This window comes from Homo sapiens, chromosome 1, assembly GCF_000001405.40.
Source record: "Homo sapiens chromosome 1, GRCh38.p14 Primary Assembly".
Taxonomy (NCBI): Eukaryota; Metazoa; Chordata; class Mammalia; order Primates; family Hominidae; genus Homo; species Homo sapiens.
Window position 1 is genome coordinate 212,958,183 of NC_000001.11, and position 24,613 is coordinate 212,982,795.

The following is a 24,613-nucleotide window of genomic DNA, read 5'->3' on the forward strand; positions in this document are numbered from 1 at the left end:
GCCCGAGGCGCTGGTTGGAAGTGGACCCTCCAGGCTGAGCCCAGACAGCTCTCCCAGACATCAGAGTGAGCTGTAGCCTATGACATCATTCCCTCTGTGGTCTCTGCGCCTCCCCGCCACTGCCCTGCCCCCAGCTGGGACTTGGGGAATGTATACGTTTGTCCTCCCGTTGGGCAGGAAGTGTGGCCACAGCTCCTGCACTCTGCTTACAGCCAGGCTGAGGTAACCATGCAGCTGTTTTTAAAAGCCCTTGGGCGCCATCGGGTTGCTATTTTGGGGACCACCTGCCGTCTGCTCCCACCCTGCCATCCAGCTCTTGTGGGCTCTGCTGGGCTTGAGGGGGGTTGAAATAATTTGGTGGTCAGTCCTTCAGCAGACTCTTGAACCAAGTCACTGGTTACAGCAAGGCTCTGGCCTAGGGACACCCCTCTGGGGATCTCTTAGGTGGCTGGTGATTCCTCAGAGCATTTTCCCACACTTACCAGCTTTTCTATTAAAGAGGTTCAGACTGTGCTTTTCTGTGCAGAAATGTTTATGTCTTTTTTTTTTGAGACAGGGTCTTGCTCTGTCACTCAAGCTGGAGTGCGGTGGCCCATTTATGGCTCACTGCAGCCTTGACCCCCTGGGCTCAAGCCATCTTCCTACCTCAGCCTCCTGAGTAGCTGAAACTACAGGCGTGCATCACCATGCTCGGCTAATTTTCTTTCTTTCTTTCTTTCTTTTTTTTTTAGTGATGGGGTCTCGCCATGTTGCCCAGGCTGGTCTCGAACTTCTGGGCTCAAGCGATCTGCCCACCTCGGCCTCCCAAAGCGCTGGGATTACAGGCGTCAGCCACTGCGCCCGACCTGCGTATGTCTTAATAAACTAGAATTCCCCTCCTCTCTGCCTCTGCTCCTGGGCTTTCTCTCTCGTTCGTTCGTACAGGGCCTAAAACTTGAAACACAGGAGGTGCTAAAGACATACTTGTTCACGTCTCCCCTTCTCTCCCCACTTTGTGAAATCTCTGGCACATTTTTTACATAGAACACTTTCTAGTGTATGCTAGGGCAGAAACACAGAATACGCTTTACATTTTGACTTGCTCTGTGTGTGTGTGTGTGTGTCTCTGTGAGTGTCATGGGAGCAAATATTCAATGCCTTGCCCCCTGAAATGACTCTCTCAGACAGCAATGTGATTGATTTGGGTTGACATGTTGTAAACAAAATGGAGCTTGCAGAATAGCTGTGCCTGAGTGTGCACACACACTCACATTCACACGCACATTCACACACACACACACACACACAATACCTTGGCTGTAATGCAGGAAGTGTGATTCTGATGAGTTTCCTTCCAGCTGAGGAGGCAGTTGCTGTGAAGTAGGACATTTCAAAGCCAAGAGAGAATTGAGGCAGTGAGAGGAAAGGAATGTCAAGGAGTACTTGCAGTAAGTGTAGGCAGCGGGGTGGAAGCATGGAAAGACCCCGATGCCCAGGCGGGGGGCAGCGTGCCCTCAGCCTCACACTGGGGCTGGCGCCTGGAGAGTCAGGGAGAGAGCCTCGAACAGCCTTAGGCAGTGTCTGCCTCTGCTGCCTGGCCTGGCTGCACAGGGCCATCCCTGCACCTCCCCAGCGGAGTCCCCTTCCATCAGCGGAGCACCAGATCCCCAGGGCTGCCCTTGCCCTGTTTGCTCTGAGGATGGGCCTCACCTGTCCTCAGGCCCTTTCTGCTTCTCCTTAAGTGGCTTAGCCTGGAGGAGCCTCCTTTCTCCTTCCCAGCAGCAGCACTGCCGGAGCCCCACCCACGTGGGCTGAGATTCTCTGTCACCAAGGACCCCAGGGAGACAGAGGTCAGAAGACCGAGAAACATGTAGGTGAAATAAAGCGAAAAACAAAACCAACCAAGAAAACCCCAAACCGTGCCTGGCTTTTCAGCAGCGACTTGATTGGACGTCCCTGTCTGTTCTTGCTCTTGGCCTTCAGGGTACGGCTGCTCAGAGCCGAGTGGATATCTTAGCTCTAAATTCCTGAGAAGTGGGACCTGCTTCCCCCTTTCCAGTCCTTGCCTGACTTTGGTTCTTTCTCTTCCTGGCAGGGATTAGGACTTCGTCTGCTGTGTTGTAGACATTCAGGGAGTGTTGATTGAGGGGCAGACTAGGAAGTGAGTGTGTTGGTGGAGCTGCTGTGAGGGGTAAAGTGGTAAGATGGCGTGTGAGCCAGAGGAGCTGCACTTGTCTGGGGAGAGTCGAGGCAAGAGGAGGGATCTTCCCTAATCCATCTGGGGGTGGGACTCAGGGAAAGGGACACACTGGGCGTTGCAGGGAGGGTGGTATTGAGATGTGGCACTCGTAGTGCCATGTTGCAATTCGCTAGGGCACCATTCACTTTATTTATTTATCTATTTGAATTTTAGAGATGGGGTTTCACCATGTTGCCCAGGCTGGTCTCAAACTCCTGGACTCATGTGATCCACACGCCTTGGCCTCCCAAAGTGCTGGGATTACAGGCGTGAGCCATGGCGCCCGGCATCCATTCACTTTATATTCTGTGTAAATGTTGCCCTGCAGTAGAGCACTTGTAGTGGATCACCATTTGCCATGCAGCAGGCATTATGCAATCATTGATGGAATGCTGGAATGCTTTCGTGTCCGTCCTGGGCCAGGCTCGGTGGGGGGACATGATAGAACATAGTCCTTCGCATCAAGGAGGCATTAGCCTTCTGCAGGGAAAAAGGCTGTATTCACACAGCACGGAGGGCCATAGAGAGCCACCATGACTCAGAGGGAACTCAGAGAGGCAGAGCTTCAATGAGGGACCCACTGTTCCTGGGAGACCTCATGGAGGAGGCACTGCTCAATCAGGTAACCACACCAGGGTGACCATGCTGCCATCGGCTCTCAGGAGCACCTCTCTCTCTGGTGGCTTTAGCCCTCTGCCTGCCCCCAGAAGCTGGGCCCCAGAGCGCCTCCTTCATAAACACCTCCTCTTCTCTATTTTTCTGCAGCCTTCAATACCCCAGGTCCCAAACTACAGGCTGTCGATGACGATCCCAGACTGGCTCCAGGCGATCCAGAATTACATGAAGACCCTACAGTATCCTTCCAACCAAGGTCTGAGCACACCCAGCCAGGGGACAGGCATGGTGATCGCAAGCCTGGTGGCAAATCTGTCCCCAGCTGGTCATCAAAAGCTCTCTAAGGTTGGTGAGGCCAGGCATGGAGGGATGTCCCGGGTGGGAGTCTAGAAAGAGTGTGCGTGGAGGTTGTCATTGCAGTGACCCAGTAGGGCAGGCTGGTTCCCCTTGAGCCCTTCTGCTTCTCTTTCTCCCTCCTCTTCCCTGTCCTTTCCCTTTTTCCCCTGAGCACCCCTCTTCCTTCTATCTTCTCCTCTTTCTCCACTTCCTTTCTCTTGGGCATCTTTGTTCCCCTCCTCCTGTTCTCCTTCACTGTCCTTCTTTTTGACATGAGGACTTGCTTTGTCACCCAGGATGGAGGGCGTTGGCGCATTCTCAGCTCACTGAAACCTCCACCTCCTGGGTGCAAGTGATTCTCCTGCCTCAGCCTCCTGAGTAGCTGGGATTACAGGCATCCGCCACCACACCTGACTAATTTTTGTATTTTTAGTAGAGACAGAGTTTCACCATGTTAGTCAGGCTGGCCTGGAACTTACCTCAAGTGATCCGCCCACCTCGGCCTCCCAAAGTGCTGGGATTACAGGCGTGAGTCACCACACGGAGCCCTCCACTGTCTATTGCCTTCTTCCCTCCTACTCTTCCATTCGTTTTCTCTTTCTCTGTTTTGCCCTCATCCCTAACTGCTCATGATCTACAAGAGGCCCACCTGGTGCTGCCTTTGTCTCCCCAGGTGACCCAGGCTGGTGACCTGCTTGGTTCTACATGAATGGTTCGGCTTCTGGGATTGGGGGCCCTCTCCCCCGACTCGAGCTTGAAGAAGACTTAAGAAACTCACTGGGTTCAGTCTGAGTTCAGACCAGCTGGTTTGGTCCCTTTCTTCTCCGCATCCGCAGGTTGTTTGCAGTCAGGATTACATCAGTTCTGAGAACTCCCACGAGCAATGCTGTAGGGACAGAGGGGCAGGAGCGGGTGGTCCACCTGCCCCTTCTGGTATTTTATAGAGGAGTCAGATGGGAAGCTGGACCCCAGCACATTGTCCAGGAGGTCAAGCTTCTGTGGACCGCTATCCTTCCTCCATGAATGTATAAAACATAGCCTGTTCTACAAGGTCCCAGGCACATTGACTGGCTTTCTGTTTGTCTGTCCATACCCAGCCCTGAGGCAGAAAGGATTTCAGGGGGCACTGCACACATGCCCCACATGTCCCAGAAAAGCCCCTCCATTCTATGTTATGGCAAAAATCTTTCTGGTGGATATTTGTGTCTTCCTTGCAGGGACCGAACACTAGCACCTCCCCCACAGGGGTTGGTGTTTACTAGATCGGAAAACACCAATTTCTGCTCATTTGGGTAGGGAGATTACTTGATTGGCTTCTCTGTTTTCACTTCACGGATCATCAACTCCCCAACATGGCATCTTTCCAGTAAAATCCTAAGGCAATATTAGGAGGAGGAGGTAGCGCCGGTCTCCAAGAGTGAGGCTGGCAGCCCTAGCCCTTGGAAGGCTGTCTGCTGTTTGTGCTGATCCCCACTCTGGGACCTGCATGGGGAGTTCCACATGGTCCCAAGGCACAAACTCCTGCCAGAGCAGACCTGGACCCCAAGAGCTGGCCCTTTCTGGATGTGACTGACTCCTCATAGGCTATTCTAGAAGGTGACAGCAATTAGAATGCCTCCCCATCTCTTTTTTTTTTTTAACTTAAAGTCAACTGATTATAGGCTTTAAGGTTCCCCACTTCTATCTAGGACATGGTCTTCACAAGGATCATCTGGCTGAGAGTTAAGAGAATTAAACTGGGAATGCATTGATGGGGCAAATTTGCATGTGCTTTACATATCATTTGCTCACACTGCTGTAAACCTGACAGCATATTCTCTGCCACATTTTCATGGTTGCCCTGAAGGATCTGCTTTTCCATTTTTCTCTTCTCTGACCCATTATGACTGCGAAGGTCAATGACCAACAGCATCACTGACTGCAGAGAGGGCCAGAGAAGGGAAGCACCAGCAGGCTGCGGGGACCTGCTCCCAGCCCCCTGCCCACTGGGGCCACTGCACGAGGAAGACAGGGCACCCACTCTTCTACCTGCTGACCTGACTTTTATTTAGTTCCTTGGGACTTCCTACTGCTTTGTCCTGGACACAGTGACAGGTGCCAGGATATGGGGACTGGTTGGCATCAGTCCTGACTGTGAATGTGCTCAGCTGGCGGTGGGGATAGGAAAGGACAAATCCTGCCTTCCCCTCAGACATCCTCGGCAGCAACCAACAAGAGTACTGGTGTTGCATGGGGTTCTGGAGAGAGAGGTGCCATGTGAGCTCTGCTGGATTGGGGGAGAAGCCTTCTAACAGCAAATTCGGGCTCAGTGAGTATCTCCCACTCAGGGCATGTTTAGAGCAGACTTCTCCCCAGCCCACTTTCAGGGACTCAATGATTAACTCTAAGGAACTGAAAGAAGATGTTCAGGTACACTTTTTTTTTTTATTTTACTCTACGTTTGTCTCATTTGTTACACTAGATGTATAAATTAGATATGTGAGCGGAGGAAAGTTGGGCATAGAACTGAATTTTTGCCAATTGAATTCTACTTTATGTACCAGGAACCTCGTTGCTTGTATAAAATTTTTGGTGAGGTAAAGAAATCACTTCACAATGAGAATATTTAGCCCTTCATTTTCCTCTTTTACCTCTAGGATCTTGTATGTTGTATGTTTTAAAAACTGGGCAAGACTGTATGGTTAGTTGTTGTTCTTAATGCCCAGGTCAGTAACTCTCAAACTGGTGATCTTGGGAGGCCCCCCAGCCCTCACCCTGGAGCTTCCTGCTCAGTCATCTAAGGTGAGGTGACTCTGAGTAGCATCTGGGGTTATGCTCCATGGCCTGAAATCAGACTCTCCAGGGCTGGAGCCCAGAATCTGCTTATACTGAGCTCTTCAAGGGGTTACGTGTGCTCGTGTCTGAGTGACCAAGCACAGCTGTGCCAAGAGAGGAATCCCAGCCCTTTTCAGGAGGGATCGAAGTGCCGCTAGGCGCCCCTGTCACTGTGGGGCACCCATTGACTCTCCCATCCCCACCTGGCCTGCAGCAGCTCTGGGCATAGAAATTCAGGCTTCATTAGCACCTTCCCGATGTGCACTTTTCCTATAGGCTTTTGTTTGAGGCAGAAGAGCAAAACCTACAAAGCAACTTCTCATTAGGCTCAGAAAAATCAAAACCCAGTCCTCAGAGAGCACGGCATCAGGGAACTCTCCATCTCCTTCAGAACAACTTGGTGCAAGCTGGTCAGTCCCTGAGACCTTCTGGGCAGTCAGCTAAATCCCAGATAGTGAATAATGGTGCAGCTTCTCAGATTTAGTAATCAATGCCAAGTGCCAGCATAGGCATGAAAAAAAGTGACATCTCCACAGTAAGCCCTGCTACAGAGTCTATGCGCTACTGCAAAGCCCTACTGCTAACAATCCACCCTTTCATCCTTGCTTCCATCCGTCCCCATCCACCCTTCCAATCCATCCATCCACTCATTCATCCATCCACCTTTCCATCCATCCATATATTCATCCATCCATTCATGTATTCCTCATTCATTTAGTAACATTTGTTAACTTGCATATGTTGGGTTTCTGCCAGGTTTTTTTTTTTTTTTTTAGACAGAATATCACTATGTTGCCCAGGCTGACGTGCAGTGGTGAGATCTTGGCTCACCATAAATTCTGCCTCTTAGATTCAAGTGATTCTCCTGCCTCAGCCTCCTGAGTAGCTGGGATTACAGGCCCATGCCATTACACTTGGCTAATTTTTGTATTTTTAGTAGAGACTGGATTTTGCCATGTTGGCCAGGCTGGTGTCGAACTCCTGACCTCAGGTGATCCACCCACCTCAGCCTCCCAATGGGGTTACAGGCATAAGCCACTGCACCTGGCCTTCTGCCAGGTTTTATGGGTGATATAAAGATAATGAAAGAATAGTTCTAGCTAGGTATGGTGGTGTATACCTGAGGTCCCAGCTACTTGGGAGGCTGAGGCAGGAAAATCACTTGAGCCCAGGAGTTCAAGACAAGCCTGGGCAACATAGCAAGACCATGTCTTAAAAAAACTTGTTTTTTTAAAAAAAGAATAGTACCAGCTCTCAAAGAGCTTGTAGTCTAGTAGGTGAATTAAGACAAATAGTCAACTACCCGGAATACAGAGCAGATTGAAAAGAGCTATTATAAAGGTCCATGGTACTTTGAAGCCTAAGTTAGAAATTAGATTTCCAGGGCAGGATAGTGAGGAGTTAGAGGCTACTACTAGCTACCTTCTGGGTGCTGGCGACTTCTGAAAGCCCTCACATCCTCATCTCATTGAGAAATCAGAATGCATAGCTTTCTCTGCCACATTACTGGGACCTTTGGAGTTTTCTGTCACTTTCCCTTTACATACTTTACACAGATATAATCACACAGGGACCCAGTTCTTTGAAATTAGGAAAATGAGACCGCTGAGTGGGTAAGTGGTGCATGATCTATGGGCCAGATGACCTCTCTCCTACATTCGAGCTGCCAGCTTCCTCTCCCAACCTCTATTCCCGTAGCCCATGGCTCAGGTATCCTAGTCTGTAAGGGGTGGAGGCGGAGGGTGCCCCAGGGCCAGGTTGGAGGTGGGACTGAGGACTGAGCAACTCTGACAGTGGAGCTCAGTGGTGAATTCTAGCTTCCAGGGTGGAGGAGGCTTGTAAACTCTGCCTCTCGAGGCTTCATTTATTTGTTCTATTGTAATGCCCCCGTGCTGGGGCATTGGGAGGGTGCTATGGAGTACTGGCACTAACTCCAGGAATTAACTCTTGTGCTTTGGTGCCTTCCTGCAAGGTGACTTCTCCCTTTTCCCTCCGTGCTCCTGTGTGGTTCCTGGTGTGGGGACAGGCATGCTGATGGATTGACAGACTGACCGAGTGTGTAATTAAATAGGTTCTGAGATCCTCTGCTGTGCTCTATCCTACAGGTTAATGGAAACAGCAAAAGAAATGACCCGAGAGTCCTTGCCTATCAAATGCCTTGAAGCTGTCATCCTGGGCATGTATCCTTTAAGTTATGTATGCTTAGTTTACTCCATAAATGGCGGCTTCACAATGGGGCTTGTTGTGCCTTTAACATTGTAAATTCTCAGAGATGATGCCCATTATCTCCTTTGAGGAAAGTGTCAAACTCCTCTGGTTCATCTCTTTAACTTTCACCATGTAGAATTGAACCAAATCAATGCTTGGCTTCTTGGACCAATATCAGTCTAACCTGTGAGCTTCAGCCTCCATCAGGTCCAGCTCTCAGGCCAGTGACCTTGCAGACTCACTAATCACAAGGAGAATTCTAACTTGGAGGGACTAGAGAGAGTGTGTATGTGGCTGTTCTTTGCATTAATATGACATTGCAGCAGGAAAGACAGTCAAGGGGAAATGCAATCAGAGCCAAGAGTGCTAGTATCCAAACCCATCTCCAGGGAAATGTCTTTGAAAATTCAGTGATATGATCTCAGCTCGCTGCAACTTCCGCCTCCCAGGCTCAAGTGACCTTCTGACCTCAGCCTCCTGAGTAGCTGGGATTACAGGCGCAGGCCACCATGCCCGGCTAATTTTTTGTTTGTTTGTTTGTATTTTTGGTAGAGATGAGGTTTCACCATGTTTCACCAGCAGGCTGGTCTCAAACTGCTGAGCTCAAGTGATCCGCCCACCTCAGCCTCCCAAAGTGTTGAGATTAGAGGCAGGAGCCATCGCGCCTGGCTCGCCAGGGAAAATTCTAAGAGTGGCGTGTGGAGGAGACCAAGCAGTGGTGGTGTATCCTGACTTGACAGAACCCACAGCTAAAACAAGGGTCTAGCTTCTCCCACACTTTCTGTTCCATTTTTCACCAGACTCCCGGCTCTTCAGCCTGAGAGGAATATGGTGCAGAGAAACTGTGATGGCATCGACATATTGGTGGTGATGACCACCTCCCTTACACAATAGTCTCATCCCTGCACAATTTTATACATTCGAGCATCATGCCATTGGAATCACCCACAACCCTTTGAAATTGTGGGGATAGACCCAGGAACAGCCTTTGAGCCTGATCTGCCACAATCAGATAGAAGAGCAAAGATGCTCCGAAGTCCTATGGGATGGATGGCTGTAAGGGACAGTGGAAAAGGAAACACTGCAAGACAGGAGCTTGAGAGATGGTCCCAGGCAAGATCAGTTAGGTCCTTGAGCGCTGTGCTGAGAAATGACTTTTTTCCAAAAGGCAATGGGCAACCCAGATGAAAGCTCTGAAGCAGAGGTGTGGCATGCTTAGGTATATGCTCTAGAGAGGTAGTTCTCCAAAGCACAGGCTGAAGGACAGATTGGGAAAGGCTGGGCTGGATCAGCAAAGCCCGTTGGGAGCTGTTACATGAGGGAATGGTGAGGCTAGACTCATGGCCCTGGGGATGGGAATGGATTTCAGGGAATGGTTTTAAGAGCTATCAAGGAGATAGAATGTATAGGACTTGCAGGCCAACCAGACGCAGGAGTTAATGAGGAAGGAGTCAACGTCTCCAGGTTTCTGAATTGGGCAATCGACTGCGGGATTAGCTGGAGGAATGAGAGTGGCAGAGAAAGGATATGCGTCAATGCAGACCTGAACTAAGACAGTGCCAGTGAAGGTGGAGGGAAGGGATGGAGGCATACATCATCACCACCACTAGGGGACTGCTTAGATGGGAGGAGTTATTGGAGAAAGGCAGTGACTCCACATTTCTGGCTTGCATGATAATGCCACAAGGGAAGAACTTCAAGGAGAGGATCGGATTTAGGGAAAGATGAGCTCAGATTTGGACATGTGAAATTTGAGGTGCCTTGTGGGATGTCGGAATGAGGTATTTGCAATGTGGAGCTCACAGGGGAATCTGCACTGGAAATGCGAATTTAGGAGCTGTGATTAGGAGGTTGTGCTTACTGTTCAATAAGTGAAAGGAGAAAAAGATCAAAGATGAAATCAGTATTTTTTGGTCTAGTTTGGCACAAAGAGCCCATGAAAGAGACTTAAGAAGGAAAGAGAGGTAGAAAGAAAACCAGGAGAGAAAGGGGATGGAGAGGTCAGTGGAAGGACATGTGGCTCAGAATTAGACTGGGGACAGGAGGATTGGTCTAGTCTGTTTTCTGGGTCTCCTGGACATCTTTGTGGGAAGGAGAATCTCTGTGCCTCTCTGCAGTCTGTGGAACACTTGCAGCCCTGATCTGAAACCAGATTGACCACAGGTGCCTTGGCTGACATTTGAAAAATGGAAACTTGAACCTTACTGAGGCCCCTCCCCAACCCTCTTGTCATCCTCCTCCCTGTTTCCCACAAAGGAGATGAAACATGTGCCTGGGGAACCCAGCAGGAAGCTGGGAATGGGGGTCGGGGCAGCAGATGGCTCAGGGCCCCAACTCTTTAGTGGCAGGAGTCAGCCACAGCTGTTCAGCGAAGCCTCCTGCAAGTTTAATGGGGGCAGATGATTGGCTGGGGATTTGCTGGTGGAAGAGATCAACGAAGGGGAACACAAGCCCAGGCCCTTCATGGGGTAGACAAGCTAACTTCAGACTCTTTGTTGAGGGGTGTCTGAGTGCCTCTGGATTTAGGTCATTGAAATGACCACCTCCCTTACACAATAGTCTCATCCCTGCACAATTTTATACATTTGCGCATCATGCCACTGGAATCACCCACGACCTTTTGGAATTGTGGGGATAGACCCAGGAACAGCCTTTGAGCCTGTCCAAATCAGAGACAGTGTGCTCGTGGTTTTCCTTTGTTCTTATCCTTCTGACATTTCAGAAAAGTGCAGGAAGGTGGAGAGCTTCAGTTCACGCTGCTGAACTCAGGGAAATTTGACTCTTGCACACAGACAGGAAACACAGATCCGAATTCTTCTTCTTTTTTTTTTTTTTTTGAGACGGAGTCTTGGTCTGTCGCCCAAGCTGGAGTGCAGTGGCGAGATCTCAGCTCACTGCAAGCTCTGCCTCCCGGGTTCACGCCATTCTCCTGCCTCAGCCTCCCCAGCAGCTGGGACAACAACAGGCGCACGCCGCCATGCCCGGCTAATTTTTTTGTATTTTTAGTAGAGACAGGGTTTCACTGTGTTAGCCAGGATGGTCTCAATCTGCTGACCTCGTGATCCGCCCACCTCGGCCTCCCAAAGTGCTGGGATTATAGGCGTGAACCACTGCACCTGGCCCGAATTCTTTTTTTGAGACGGAGTCTCGGTCTGTGATCCAGGCTGGAGTGCAGTGGCGCGATCTCGGCTAAGTTTTTGTATTTTTAGTAGAGATGAGGTTTCACCATGTTGACCAGGCTGATCTTGAACTCCTGACCTCAGGTGATCTGCCCGCCTCAGCCTCCCAAACAGACCTGGATTCTAAAAGTTACAGCATCTCTGTCTTTTCTCTTTGCTTTGGTCAGCATCCCTGGGTCCTGCTTTCCACTCGGGGATAGTGAAGGATATGAATGGGTTCATCCGTCTGTGTCTCCCACAGGCCCTTCTGCAGGTCCTGGCTCAACAACTTTGAAACTGGTTGGCTTGGCTGCTTGGACGCCTGTGTCCATTGGCCTGTCCTTCCTTGCCTTCTCTTTTTTTGACTTTGGCCCAGAGTTCAGGATTCATTAGTTCTGAGCCACTTCTTTTTATCTTGCTTGAGGGCATGCGCATGCTTTTACATGCATGCTGGAGAGGTAGATCTTTGCTTCCAAATTATCTTGTGAACTATGGCAGGTATTTTGGGGGGCCTCACTGGCCATGGTGGGGCTTGCTTGTGGTACTAAAGCACTGTGGTTTATTAAAGAAACAGGTTCATTATGAGAGGCAGGTTAGGAATAGCCCCAGGAGGCTGGATGCCAGAAAGATGATCCCTGGCTTGGCGCTGCTGCTCCCGCTTCCCTGGAAAAGGTCAGGTTACTCCCCTGCCTGCCTCCATACTACCTCGCCACCTCCCTCTCCATTCCCAGTTGCTCCAGGTCCCAAGGCTTTACCAGTTGACATCATGATGGGAGAAATCCTCAAGATCAGTGACTCGTGACATGAGGGACTGGTGCTCTCTCTTGTCTCCTCCCCACTTCTCCACCTGGCTGACTACTTATCCTGTAAGATGAATTCCAGTGTTACTCTGCTGAGGCCCCTCCTCTGTCCACCCAGAGGTTGCTAGGCTTGCCTTTCTTATAACACACTTCACATTGTGTTTTGGTTTTTATTGTGGTAAAATATAACATAATTTACCATTTTAACCATTTTTAAGTGCACAGTTCAGTGACATTAAGTGCATTCATAATGCTCTGCAAAATGACCACCATTCCGGCCAGGCGCAGTGGCTCATGCCTGTAATCCCAACACTTTGGGAGGCCGAGGAGGACAGATTACCTGAGGTCAGGAGTTCGAGACCAGCCTGACCAACATTGTGAAACCCCGTCTTTACTAAAAATACAAAAATTAGCCAGGTATGGTGGCGGGTGCCTGTAATTCCAGCTACTCAGGAGGCTGAGGCGGGAGAATCGCTTGAACTTGGGAGGCAGAGGCTGCAGTGAGCTGAGATCGCACCACTGCACTCCAGCCTGGGTGACAGAGTGAGACTGTGTCTCAAAAAAATGAAAAAAAAAAGACCACCATTCCTCCCCAGAAATGAAACCCCATACCCGTTAAAAAGTACTCCCCATTTCCCCCCTCCAGCCCCTGCCCACCACCGTTCTACTCTCTGTCTGTATGCACTTGCTACTCCAGGTACCGCAGATGAGTGGAATCATACCATATTTGTCCTTTTGTATTAGGCTGATTTCACTCAGCATGTCTTCAAGGCTCATTCTGCACATTGCAGAATTTCCCTCCCTTATGAGGCTGAATAAATTCTATTACATGTATACACTACATTTTGTTCATCCCTTTATCCATCGATGGATATTTGCGTTGTTTCCACCTTCTGGCTATTGCAAATGATGCTGTTCAGAGCATGGGTGTACAAATACCTGCTGGGGTCGCTGCTTTCAATTCTTTTGGGTATGCACCCAGAAGTGGAATTGCCAGGTCCTAGGGTAATCCTGTTGAATTATTTGAGGAATTGCCATACTGATCACATTGTGTGCATTCTGAGTCCATCTCCCACCAGACCTCCGGAGAAGGGCTGTGTTCTTATCTTTGGCTCCACAGCCCTACCTGGCAGGCTGTCGGGCACAGCAGACACTCAGGGTAAGTGTTTGTCACACTGACTTAAGCAGCTAAGGAATGCCCTTGTTCCAGCCCCAGAGAACTTGCCCCAGAAAGCAGCTAGGAATTTACGTAAGAGGACTCAGAAGGATGTGATTTCACTCCCTAACTGCCAGGTGATCTCACATGATAAAGTGAAGAGAAAGCAAGTACAAAACTGCTTTCTTTCTAGAGAGTGGAGGCATCCGTGATTAAACCGAGAGCAGAGGACAAGGCTGCCGCCAGTGCTGTGGATGGATTCTGTCAGCATCCTTCTCTTCAGGGCACTTGGATTAGCTCTGGCACCGAGAGCAGCCCTTTTAAGTGTAAGGCAGTGCACATCCACAATCTAAGGTTCGTTCTTTCTGTAAGCATTAAACAAGCCCATCTGTGTACCAGGCCAGTGCTGTGCCCAGGGAATGCCAGGATGTGAGACACAACCCCCGCCCTCACAAGATACAAACAATTACAGTACAGGATGGGTAAGCACCAAGTGCCATGGGGGTTCTTGTGTGTTTTGGAAAGATGATCCCAGGCTTGGTGCTGCTGCTCCCCCTTCCCTGGAAAAGCTCAGGTTATATACTCCCCTGCCTGCATTCACATTTCATTGCCACCTCCTTCTGCATTCCCAATTGTTCCAGGTCCAAAGCCTTTACCAATTGACTTGGGGCGGGGCAGGGAGCAAGAATACCTAAGCTAGGATGAGGAAGGTCAGGGAGGCAAGACACCCAGGAGAGGGGAAGGGATAGTCATGAGGCTGTTCCAGGCCGGGTTGCAGCCTGTGTGAGCCCCAGGAGCAGAGGAAAAAGTGCCTTGTTATTGTTTTGTTTTGCATGTATGTAATTACTGAAGAAAATGACAAGTTTTTCTCTTTGTCTCATATTTACTTGGTTTGGATATACAGCATATAGTAGATAGTCAAACATAACAAGCGAATCCTTTATAAAAGGATTAGTCTGGAAAAGTTAGATGTGGGCCTGCTCAGAGGCAGGGGGATGGACTCACTGAACCCTGAGACACTTTCCCTTCCTTTGCATCCAGGCTTCAAATTTTCAAGGCCTCCTTTCTCTTCCTTGACTCAGATTGTCTAAGCTACTTAACCAATGGGCAGCCTTCCATTGAGCGGTTCCCCATCAGCTTTAAAACCTACTTCTCAGGAAACTACTTTCACCACGTTGTGCTGGGGATTTACTGCAATGGCCGCTATGGCTCATTGGGCATGAGCCGCAGGGCTGAGCTGATGGACAAGCCATTGACTTTTCGGACTCTGAGTGACCTCATCTTTGACTTTGAGGACTCTTACAAGAAATACCTGCACACAGTCAAGAAGGTCAAGATTGGGCTGTACGTCCCCCATGAGCCTCATAGCTTCCAGCCCATTGAGTGGAAGCAGCTGGTCCTCAACGTCTCAAAGATGCTGAGGGCTGACATAAGGAAGGAGCTGGAGAAATATGCCAGGGACATGAGAATGAAGGTGGGTGCTGGGAAGACAAGGAAGCCATGCAGGAGAGCTCTTTTCCCATTCCTTTCTCTCTGTCTCTTGCTCCAGGCCTCATTTTTCTAGGATGGCCAAAAATTTCTTGAGGTTAAAGTCTCTCTTTGCACATACTACTGCAAAGAAAGCCATCTAAAATCAATTTAGATGCGACAGTTAAAACAATGTCTCGTCCTGCAATTCCTTCTATGAAATCAGATCTAAAGTGTTAGTCATTTTATATTGAAGCTCTAGTTTGTTCTGTTTTGTCGATGTAATAGGGTGACCAGTTGTACTAGTTTGCCTGGAACTGCGGGTTTTCCCAGGACATGAGATTTTCAGTATTAAAACCTGGAAAACCTTATATGCTGGCCTTATATAGACTATACTCATACGTCCCTCTTCTCTCTCTCAGTTTTACCTCCAAAGTGATGTGATTCCCGCTTGTCCATGTCCCTCCAGGGCTTGTGCAGTCACTAAGAGAAAAGGATTATGCTGACTTCAGGCCTGGCTATGTTTAGCACTTGTGGACTTGTCATCTTCACTCTGCAGGACCTGGAGTGGAGATTCCTGATCAATTAAAACCATTCTGTCATATGTGTGGGATGGGAGCATCAGAGGAAGAACAGGCTGGTTTCTGAGGCAATAGAGATGGGACTTTGCCTTCGTGAGGAGAGGAACTTGCCAAGCAAACAAACACAGCCCCGGGGAGACTGAGGCATTGGGCTGTGTTCCTCTCTCTACACGGCACAGGGAGCACAATGTGACCATCTGTATATCTGTCTTGGAAGTGGTGCCCTTGCTGCTTGACAGTACAGGACGAGAGAGGAATGTGTGTGTCTCCAGCCTCCTTTTTTAGAAGTCTTCCTGCTCAATGCCTTCTAAACCATGGCATCATGATTGGGCTGGGGGGTGGAATGTGGTGCTAGAAGAAGACCTGAGGGTGGAGGTCCCTTAGGAACCAGGGTGATTAACTCCTCACATCTCCTTCAGATCCTGAAACCTGCAAGTGCCCACTCTCCGACCCAAGTGAGAAGCCGGGGAAAATCCCTGTCCCCCAGAAGGAGACAGGCAAGCCCCCCGAGGAGGCTCGGCCGGCGAGAGAAGTCGTGAGTAATATTTCCTCTTCCCCAACTCAAAGCCCAACACACACATTCAAGGGGTTGTCCTGGCCCATGGGGACAAAGCTGTGTCTTGGGCATGGCATTTGAACCTGACAGCAATCTCCAAGAGGACTGCCCCTCATTCAGGGGACATCTGTGGAAAAGGATCCACTGGGCACATCACCCCATTGCCACTTCTCTGCTGTCAGTTGCACACAAACGGAGGGATAAGCCCCAGGCAGAATGAGGTGAAGAATAGTCTGAAATGCAGGTGGCCCGGAGGGAGCCTTGGACTTAGAATTAGGAAACCTGGGGCTGGAACTGGCTCAGCTGCTTGGGGATGTCTTTGTTATCTTTCTGGGCATAAGTTTTCTCACCCATAAAATGGGATTGTTAGAATTTATGAACTTCCCTAAAATTCTGTAGTCCTCTGTACCCAGCAGAAGGTGTGATTACCATCAGTGGACGGTGGCATCAGAAACACCCACCGGCTCTTCTTCTTCCTTGGCTAACTCTACCCTCTCCGTTTCAGCCCTGAGGCCAGTGATCCCACATCTACTTCTTAGACCAAAATAACCCACTTAAGCAATGACAGATTGGAGATGCTGGGGATGCCCAAATTCACCAGCGATAATCCGCTGGCAAATATTTGAACTATAGCCATCCTGGGAAAAAATACTGCTTTTCTTAATAATAGCAGCATGCTGTGTCACCCAGCCTCTTGCCATGCTGGAACCATGTGGCACAGTGCACAGGGGGCTTGGTTGAATCCCAACTGTGCCACGTGTTAGCTGTGCAGCTGGGCACATCCTTCCTCCTCGGGGAGCCTTGGTTTCTTCATCCATAAAAGAGTATCAAATGCTCTCCTTGCCTATCTGACACGGTGGTTTGTAAAGATCCAAGTAGATGATGTAACGAGAGTGACTTGTCAACAGTGAACTGCTTTCACACAAGCACATTATCGTCATTACATCAATCCTGTACAGTGAGCAGGGAACATTTTACGAGTTTTGTTTTCAGGTGAAGAAACCAGGACACAAAAAGGGCTTGTTATCTTGTAGTAAGTTCTGTAGCTGGTCAGTGAGAAATGGGGCTGAAACCCAGGTCCTCTGATTCTGGGAGGTGGCAGGGCAGAGTCGGGGAAGGTTCTGTTTTCGGAAGAACAGGACAGGACGAAGTATTTTCATTTCCAAGGAAGGTTCTTTACTTGCCCCATTCCGCGTCCTACAGCCAGTCCTGGGTTCAGCAGGTACTGCCACGAGGGCCTTGGTGACAATGGCTGTCGTTCTGGGTTGGGAAGGAGGGTGTGAGGTGTGAAGCAGTGAGAGGTCAGGTGTTCCTGGTAGCAAGAGAGGCTGAAGATGAGAACAGTTTTGGCATAGGTTTGTCCTTGCAGGGAGCAGGATGGCTTCCAGCCATTCACACGTGGCCTCCTGACCCCAATCCTCCCCGTGATGCTGGCCACTGCCCTTGACCCTGGACCCTAACCTTAGCCCTTACCCTATATCTCTCTCTGTCTTTGATTCAAACATCCATTAACTGCTGTCATCACAAAGTAGTTGTTGTCTCAGAGGACTATGAACATAGAAACTCTTCCCAGAGGGTCATTTAGCATAGAGTGAGTGACCCAGCAATAGCAAGTTGCTCATAAAAGAACTGATTTTGTCTGATTTATTATCTGTTTTGCCCAAGGAGGGCTGAGTCATTCCCTGAGGAGCTCCCAATCTTCAGCAAATGTCGAGCAGAGTCTATAAAAGCCTGCCCTTCCCTTTAGACTCTAGAATCCAGAGGACATGAAGGCCCAAGCATTCCACCTGGCAATGGATTCCTGCACAGAATGGTGGCTATTGATTTTGAAGACTAGTCCTGGTGGATCCGTTTTACTTGGATCCACAGGGACTTTGCATTCACAGGGCCATGTTGAGTTTTTAACCAGGAAACGTGACCATAAATGTGAGGGGATGGTAAAGATCTTAGAAACCATGGTAACAGGATGATGTCAGGAGTCAGGAGGTGGTGGTGGCTGGTTTGGGAAATGTGGAGGAAGGAGAGTTTGAGTTTGGATGATGGGATGTGGGGTGCATCTTCGGCATTGGGGGAGCTGCTAAAAATGCAGACCTGGAGTTTGAGGAAGCTGGGGGATAAAAGTCCTATTGGAGCCATCTACTTAGAATTGCCAGTTGAAATGACAGCCAGATAAGTCTGTGAGCAAAGAAAGAAGAGAAAAAAGAAATGGCTGGGCATGGTGGTTCACACCTGTAATCCCAACACTTTGAGAGGCCAAGGAGCGATAACTGCACAAGCCCAGGCATTTGAGACCAGCATGCCTATGCCACATAGGGAGACCCTGTCTTTACAACAACAACAAATTAGCCAGGCATGGTGATGCATGCCTGTAGTCCCAGCTTCTTGGGAGGCTGAGATGGGAGGATCACTTGAGCCTGGCGTTTCAAGCCCGGATAGCACCATTGCTCTCCAGTCTGGGCGAAGGAGTGAGGCCCTGTAAAAAAAAAAAATGGTGACGACAAGGCCCTGAGGAAGCCCAAGAAAAAGAGCCAGAACAGAAGATGGAAGAGGAACAGTCAGAGAGGGAGAGGATGGATCAGGACTGTGAGTGCACCTGCGCCTGCAGAGGACAGCTGTCAGAGTGCCGCAGCCGTGAGTGCAAAGCTACCTTCTGGTGTTGAGGCACCACTTGCCCTCTGCCCTCCTGCCCATCTGGCACACCAGAGTGGGCCTGGGAATGGGGAGAAAGACCAGGGAAAGGGAGTGGTCGCCTGAGGTCAGGAAGGAAGACCTGCAGGAAGAGGGCATTCTCCTCCATTACCTTCTGTCGCGCATGTCCCGGAGTCGACCCCAGCCCCACTGGGGGAAGCACAGGAGCACAGAGGTGATGGCTCAGGGCTCAGCAGTGAAAACATAAGCTTTTCAAAAACGATGAGAAGTGGCCGCAACAAGGTGAGGAGGGGTGGGTTTCAAGGGGGAGGAGGGAAAGTAGTGGGGGAAGGAGAAGCACTATGCACTGAGGTGACATTTAGAGAGGCAGTGTTGAGAGGGCTGAGGGGCTGGAACCAGCCTGCGAAAGGGAGTGAGAGTGAGAGCTGATGGAGCTGATGCAGGCCAGATTCCTTTATCAAGAAGGAGCCCTGAACAGAGATGCAGCAACCTGATTTCTCACTCCAACTCTGCCATGAACCAGCTTGCGGCTTTGAGCAAGCTGCTTCTCTGTGCCTCACCTGTGTAAGGGGACGGGGGACTTAGAGCAGATTATTCTAGGTAGTTTGTAAACTCTATAGAGTTCTCCTGGGGCTTTTGTCTTTCTAGAATTGGAAGAGACCAGAGTGTCTTTGGACACACGGAGAAAATAACCAGGAGAAAGAAATGAGTGTTCAAGAGCAAAGGGATTAATGGAGGAAGATATATGAGCAGCTGGGGTCACATGGTATGGAAGGCTACAGAGAGGGCTTAGAAGGTGGTGGGTGGGGGAGAGGGTAGGGCAAAGGAAGGGGGGACATTAGGGAGAGCTTGACATACATGAGGAGGTAGAAGTTGAAGGACTGTACCTTAAGTGGCCTTTATCCTGCCAGTGAAGGAGTTGAAGAAAGGGCCCAGCTGAGGACAGATAGATAGGCCCTGCAGTCCTGTTCTCAACTCTGAGTGTGCACCAGCATCACCTGGAGGGTTTGTTGAAACAGAAGACTGCTGGACCCCTTTCCCAGAGCTTCTGATTCAGCACATATGGGATGGAGCCTGAGAACTGGTGTTTCTAATGATGCTGATCCTGCTGGTCCGGGGACCACACTTTGACATCTACCGTTTGCTTCAGCCGCAGGCCTCCACCTGTGTTTGATGAATCAGAATGGGAAAACTGAGTTGGCGGTTGACCCTGAAAAATAACAGTCACTGGCTAAAAGTACTGGGTCTGCTGAGAGGGGCAGATAAAGCCGTTGGGTGTGATTTAGGGGCTCAGCCTTGTCCAGTGTTGCCTGGATCTCTGGATAATGAGGTTGTGGAGGTGAAGTTAGGGGGTCTGACCCTGCACTGGCTCCCATGTTTGGGCCCCAGTGAAGTCATTCTGGGAGGGGCCCAACTGGTCACTCTCCTGGGGGCCAGACTGGGCCTCCGGTCCTTCATCCCCTAGGCCATGCCCATACGCTAATCTCTGACTACTTTTTCATGCAGCCAAGGCAAGTGACCACCCCTGCGCCTGCAGAGGACAGCTGTTAGACTGCCTCAGTTGTGAGTGAAAGCTATCTACTCTCCCGCTCCCCTCCTACCCTGCCAGCACATCAGAGTGGGCCTGGGAATGGGGAGAAAGACTGGGGAAGGGAGTGGTCGGTCACTCGAGGTCAGGAAGGAAGACCTGCAGGAAGAGGGGAATTCTCTTCCATCACCCTCCTCCCTCCACGCCCCAAAGTCGATCCCAGCCCCAGTGGGGAAAGCCCCAGGAGCACGGAGGTGATGGCTGATGGTTCAGTGAAATCATCAACTTTTCAAAAAAGGTGAAGAGTGATTGCCACCTGCCTCAGAATCCCCCTGACTCACGCCCCTGCCCTCGAGCCCTTCCTCCCAGGTAAACATTGATTCCCAAAAGTCCTCCTTCCTAAACTGCTCCCAGTAGGTCAGAGTCTTTGCGGTTTTTTTTCCCCACAACTAGGGCCGAGTGGCCTTGGAACGGTTTGACCATCCACAGAGCCCAGTTGGCTTGTAGGTGCCCGTGGACAATTTTGTATTAGCAAATCCAGTAAGACTATGGTTATTCTTGGTGGCGGAAACCCTTGCCACTTCTTTTCTCTTTCTCCAGCACTTGGAGGTTGGGAGGGAACTCTGGAGGGCAGATCTCTCAGCTGAAGTTTCAAATGGATTGAGGTGTTTGAGGAGGGAAGATTCTCTCCCTAATTCCTCCGAAACCTTGACTTCTGAGTTGCAGGGCTGGGGAAGAGATTGCAGGGTCTACTGTGTAGGAGGAGAGGGAAGAGAGGTGCAGGACATGAGAATAAGAAGAAGAGCTGTGAGAGGCCACAAGCACTGGAGCGCCAAGCCCCAGCTTCCCTCTCTAGATTCCAGCTCCCGCCATTCTGCCACACTAGAACTCAGGACAGCTGTGTTCCTGGAGGTATGTTTGGAGAGAAGCAGCTTCTCAGCTTCCACCCATGGCCTTCGCCAAGCAGCCTTTTCTCTAGGTAATCTTGCTTTTGGCGAGGAAATGAGAAAGTGACAAATATGGTCTTGACCCAATCACTCCACAAACTCCGGGAATCTTACTGTAAGATGGCCAGGACTAGGGTTTGGTGACTCTGTCCCTGTGCTATTCTGTCAGCATTACATAAGGCCATCGCGTCATTTCTAAATGTGTTGGGTGTCATGAGGAAGCTTGGGAGGGGCCCAAAGGGTGGAAAATTACCATAACAGGCGAGAGGCCCATCAGCTGTGGGGTCCCAGTCCCTGTCTGCCATGGATAATTTTAGTGGCATTATATCCCCATCCACCTCCTCCCTCCAGCTGGAGCGACTTCCAGCCTTGAATTCCTCTCCATTTTTGCACTTGTCTAAATAATCCCTTTCGAGAGGAGGATCAGTGTCACTGGGTTGACAAGAATCAGCCGAGGGGGAGGGCAGGTGAAGATGACTGCGTAGCATCCGCTGAGACCAAGTTTCAAGAGGGAAACCAGGACTCCCCCACCCTTCCACCCACGGGTCCTTTCTCACACTGCTCCTCTGGGAGTGTGTAAAGCACCTACTACACTGAATTGTCAAGTTTTTTCCTGTGGTTCGTAAAGAGAAAGGGAGAGGGAGGTTGAGATTCATGTTTCAAAGGCCATCTGTGAACTTAAACCAACTCCTTCCCAGCCCCGGGCCTCAGAACCCTTGCAGCTCTTCACTAAGGGGTGTTCCCAGGGGTTCTCAACTGGGTCAGCTCTGGGAGAGGAGGGTTAGAAGTGTGGTGGGAGGTGGAAGCGTTTGCTTCTCACATCTTGGTAAGTGAGGAGGCTCCTTGCTAGGGCCGGGGGCCTGAGATGGTAAATGCCCCGCAAAGCCCAGGACCACCCTGCCCAATAAAGAACCGTTCCACCTCAAATGCCAACAGCGCCCTCACTGGGAAGCTTCAGCGCTCTCCGAGGTCCTTTCCATTTCTGACAGTTCATGACTCTTGGCTTGCTGCCTATGAGCTGGCCCTGGGTGAATTGGAGTGAGCAGATAGTGATTTTCTGGTTTTGCAGCCAGAGTGACCACGTGAAACATTCTTCTCAATGGAGGCCAGTGTTCCTGAGGACCCATGAGAACCTCTTCATCTTCTCTCCCCTGTGTGGCTGCTTTTTTCCTGCTGTCTCTCCTCCTGTTTTCTTTGCTGGTCACCTTTCTTTGCCTCCCCTTTTCTTCCTCTTTGATTTCCCTTCTTCATCACTGATCTCTGTGGCAGTTCATGGCTCCAGCGGGCTCTGTCTGCCCTGCTGGACACCCTGGGGGTCCCAGAGGTTAGTAAGCCCTGAAAGCCCATCTCCTTTCACTGCAGGGCCTTGAGCTGGACAATGGAATTCCTGCTGCATTCTGTCAGGAAGGATTACGTATGTCCAGACATCTGGTTGAGTAAGGGCAGAAGTTGTTTAATGAAGTCATTGAAAATAAATTTGATTCCATGGTCTAATCACATTGACTGGTGCCCAAGAAGTAATTCTCCTTAGATCCCAAATGAGAAATATCCCCAGTGAGAAAAGGAGATTTCCTTAGGGTGGAAAGTAGAGGGAAGCAAACAAACAAAAAAGAACACTAGGAAGGCTACGAAGGGAAAAGCTAAACCGCCAAGATGGTGAAGGGGCAGTTTCTACTCCAGTGACTGCCTGGTCAGTTCCCCCAGGGAAATTCATATGGCCCAGAGTCTCCAGGGATGCTTGGAGAAACCAAGATGGAATGATGGGCCTCATCAGAAAAGACCACCTCAGGCAGAGTGAGCCAGGAGCCTCTGTGAGCTCCCCAGGGTCACATAGGGTCAGACAGGGGCAGACAGGGTGAGGTTTCCTAGAGCTGAGGGGTTCTTGTCCCGGAAAGGAGAAGTGACATCAGAGCCTGGAAACTGTGCCCTGGAATCTCCAACAGTTGGCCTATGGCCAGAGTCTCCTGCCTGGGGAGGGCTCAAAGGGATGGGCACCGGCTGAAAAATCTCTTCTGGGCCGAATCCGTCTTGGCTGAGGCCTCTGTTTACATAGCAACATCAGCTGTCTGCCCTGGCAGCTGCCAGCACCGGTGCTTTCCATCAGGGGAAGCAAGGAATGTGAGGGAGGAGCGGACTGGCCTGGAATGAAGGTGACAGGTGTGAATGAAGCTTCCCTTTCCCTGTGTCCGTCCAGCTGAGGCCATGCTCTGCCTCTGCGGCCTACCCAGACCGGCCGTGAATCCTAAATCGGGGCCTGGTCTGACCTGATTCTGGCCAGACTCCACAAGAAGGGTGGCCCTGGGGTCTTTGCTTAAACTTGTAAATGCTGGGCCAAGAGCACCCCTGGTTTAATCTCTTCCACATTCTTAACATCCGGGATTAAGAGTCTAACGTTTACAGTGGCACTTTTCCCACACTTCCCTTCCTGGACTCCCGAGCCTGCAGGCTGTACCGCCAGTCTGGCCTTTGTGTTTCTGTGTGAGGGTGAGCACCTGCCGGCACACGTACCCAGACATGGCCCTCAGTCAGAGGTGCGGAAGAGAGACTGGGTGGTTGAGGGAACCCTGTGAACTTCCTCTCCTCGTCCTGTTTCTTTTCTTAAACCTCATCTCTCCCAGATACACCCCTATGCATGTTCAGCCTTGGGATGTGGTCATGTCTCCACTCCATCACTTTCTGGTTCTGAGGCTTCTTGTGGCTGCACAGATGGCACCATCTGGTCAGGCCGAGCTCCTCCTCTGCACTGAGGCTGCCTCAGAGTGTGAAGGACTTGGTGTGCAGCTGTCAAAGTTGAGATAGCAGTGGCAGAGAGTAGTAGGATTTTTGACAGAATAACTTCTCTGTGGAACCACCACCCTGTTCTCCCTAGCCTACCTCCTGCTTTGAGCACCCTCCGTCCAGCTGGCTCCGGGAATGCAGACCTGTCATTGGGGTTAAGTGTAGCCTTGGGGCCAGGCCATCAAGCTTTCACCCTAGTTCACTCTGAGTCCATTTACGTCACAACAGGTGAGGCTGGGACTGTCTGTGCATGTGGATATCCTTTCTCCTGCAAAGTGAGTCAAAGTAAAGTTTTCTACTCTTTTTCCCCTAAAACAAAATGTTGCCGGAGAACCTTGAAAAAAGAAAATTCTTTCATTTCTTTGCCTTGTTTGGAGGAGGATGGCAGGGAGGTGGGGTTGGAGAAATATATTAGTCTAAAATAATAACCCTGGATCCGATGAGAGGTTCTGGGCAAGTGCAGACCCGGCTGAATCATCATCCTAGTGCTCGTGTTTCTTAAAAATAAACCCCCTTGCAATATTCTAATTAGAGCTGGGGGAGCACTTGGAAGAGTCCTCTCTATACACAATAGCTCACCCAGCTCTGGCCCTGAGATGAGCTGGCAAGGACTGAATGACATTTCTGGCTGGGCCCCACAGGCAGGTGGCATGCTGTGATAACCTACTTCTGCCCTATGCCAGCCAAGGAGATTGCAGCCACGGTTGCTGTAAAAGAAAAGGATTTCATCTTCTGGGCAGTTCACCAGGAATCTCAGTTTAGCTCATTTTCTGTCAGTATTAGCCCTTTTCTTCTCCTGGGT

At 50.2% G+C, this 24,613-nt stretch overlaps 1 protein-coding gene across 4 annotated transcripts in view, besides 10 other annotated features; it reads left to right on the plus strand.

The window, feature by feature from the left end:
- Positions 1-24,613, plus strand: part of VASH2 (vasohibin 2) — a 41,045-nt gene that overhangs the window by 7,642 nt on the left and 8,790 nt on the right. For 3 of the 4 annotated variants that reach the window (NM_001301056.2, NM_001136474.3, NM_001136475.3), the window contains 5 exons: positions 2,984-3,072; positions 7,540-7,596; positions 8,089-8,163; positions 14,398-14,779; positions 15,773-15,888. In NM_001301056.2, coding sequence (NP_001287985.1) covers positions 2,984-3,072; positions 7,540-7,596; positions 8,089-8,163; positions 14,398-14,779; positions 15,773-15,888 — 719 coding nt within the window. The remainder of the gene's footprint in view (positions 1-2,983; positions 3,073-7,539; positions 7,597-8,088; positions 8,164-14,397; positions 14,780-15,772; positions 15,889-24,613) is intronic. The other variant, NM_024749.5, reaches the window with a different exon arrangement.
- Positions 123-780: an enhancer, noted in NCBI's record as "H3K27ac-H3K4me1 hESC enhancer chr1:213131647-213132304 (GRCh37/hg19 assembly coordinates)". NCBI's record gives its function as "activates a minimal SCP1, AML or CMV promoter by ChIP-STARR-seq in naive H9 embryonic stem cells {active_cell/tissue: H9 hESC(naive)}" and the evidence as "EXISTENCE:reporter gene assay evidence [ECO:0000049][PMID:30033119]".
- Positions 1,440-2,097: an enhancer, noted in NCBI's record as "H3K27ac-H3K4me1 hESC enhancer chr1:213132964-213133621 (GRCh37/hg19 assembly coordinates)". NCBI's record gives its function as "activates a minimal SCP1, AML or CMV promoter by ChIP-STARR-seq in primed H9 embryonic stem cells {active_cell/tissue: H9 hESC(primed)}" and the evidence as "EXISTENCE:reporter gene assay evidence [ECO:0000049][PMID:30033119]".
- Positions 1,537-1,686: an enhancer, noted in NCBI's record as "active region_2523". NCBI's record gives its function as "activates an Ori minimal core promoter by ATAC-STARR-seq in GM12878 lymphoblastoid cells {active_cell/tissue: GM12878}" and the evidence as "EXISTENCE:reporter gene assay evidence [ECO:0000049][PMID:35858748]".
- Positions 2,158-2,658: an enhancer, noted in NCBI's record as "H3K27ac hESC enhancer chr1:213133682-213134182 (GRCh37/hg19 assembly coordinates)". NCBI's record gives its function as "activates a minimal SCP1, AML or CMV promoter by ChIP-STARR-seq in naive H9 embryonic stem cells {active_cell/tissue: H9 hESC(naive)}" and the evidence as "EXISTENCE:reporter gene assay evidence [ECO:0000049][PMID:30033119]".
- Positions 9,516-10,161: an enhancer, noted in NCBI's record as "OCT4-NANOG-H3K27ac-H3K4me1 hESC enhancer chr1:213141040-213141685 (GRCh37/hg19 assembly coordinates)". NCBI's record gives its function as "activates a minimal SCP1, AML or CMV promoter by ChIP-STARR-seq in naive and primed H9 embryonic stem cells {active_cell/tissue: H9 hESC(naive and primed)}" and the evidence as "EXISTENCE:reporter gene assay evidence [ECO:0000049][PMID:30033119]".
- Positions 9,645-9,939: an enhancer, noted in NCBI's record as "tiled region #306; K562 Activating DNase unmatched - State 20:ReprD". NCBI's record gives its function as "activates a minimal TATA promoter and a strong SV40 promoter by Sharpr-MPRA in K562 cells {active_cell/tissue: K562}" and the evidence as "EXISTENCE:reporter gene assay evidence [ECO:0000049][PMID:27701403]".
- Positions 21,448-21,497: an enhancer, noted in NCBI's record as "active region_2524". NCBI's record gives its function as "activates an Ori minimal core promoter by ATAC-STARR-seq in GM12878 lymphoblastoid cells {active_cell/tissue: GM12878}" and the evidence as "EXISTENCE:reporter gene assay evidence [ECO:0000049][PMID:35858748]".
- Positions 21,785-22,079: a silencer, noted in NCBI's record as "tiled region #1741; K562 Repressive non-DNase unmatched - State 12:CtcfO". NCBI's record gives its function as "represses a minimal TATA promoter and a strong SV40 promoter by Sharpr-MPRA in K562 cells {active_cell/tissue: K562}" and the evidence as "EXISTENCE:reporter gene assay evidence [ECO:0000049][PMID:27701403]".
- Positions 23,330-23,549: an enhancer, noted in NCBI's record as "active region_2525". NCBI's record gives its function as "activates an Ori minimal core promoter by ATAC-STARR-seq in GM12878 lymphoblastoid cells {active_cell/tissue: GM12878}" and the evidence as "EXISTENCE:reporter gene assay evidence [ECO:0000049][PMID:35858748]".
- Positions 23,660-23,809: an enhancer, noted in NCBI's record as "active region_2526". NCBI's record gives its function as "activates an Ori minimal core promoter by ATAC-STARR-seq in GM12878 lymphoblastoid cells {active_cell/tissue: GM12878}" and the evidence as "EXISTENCE:reporter gene assay evidence [ECO:0000049][PMID:35858748]".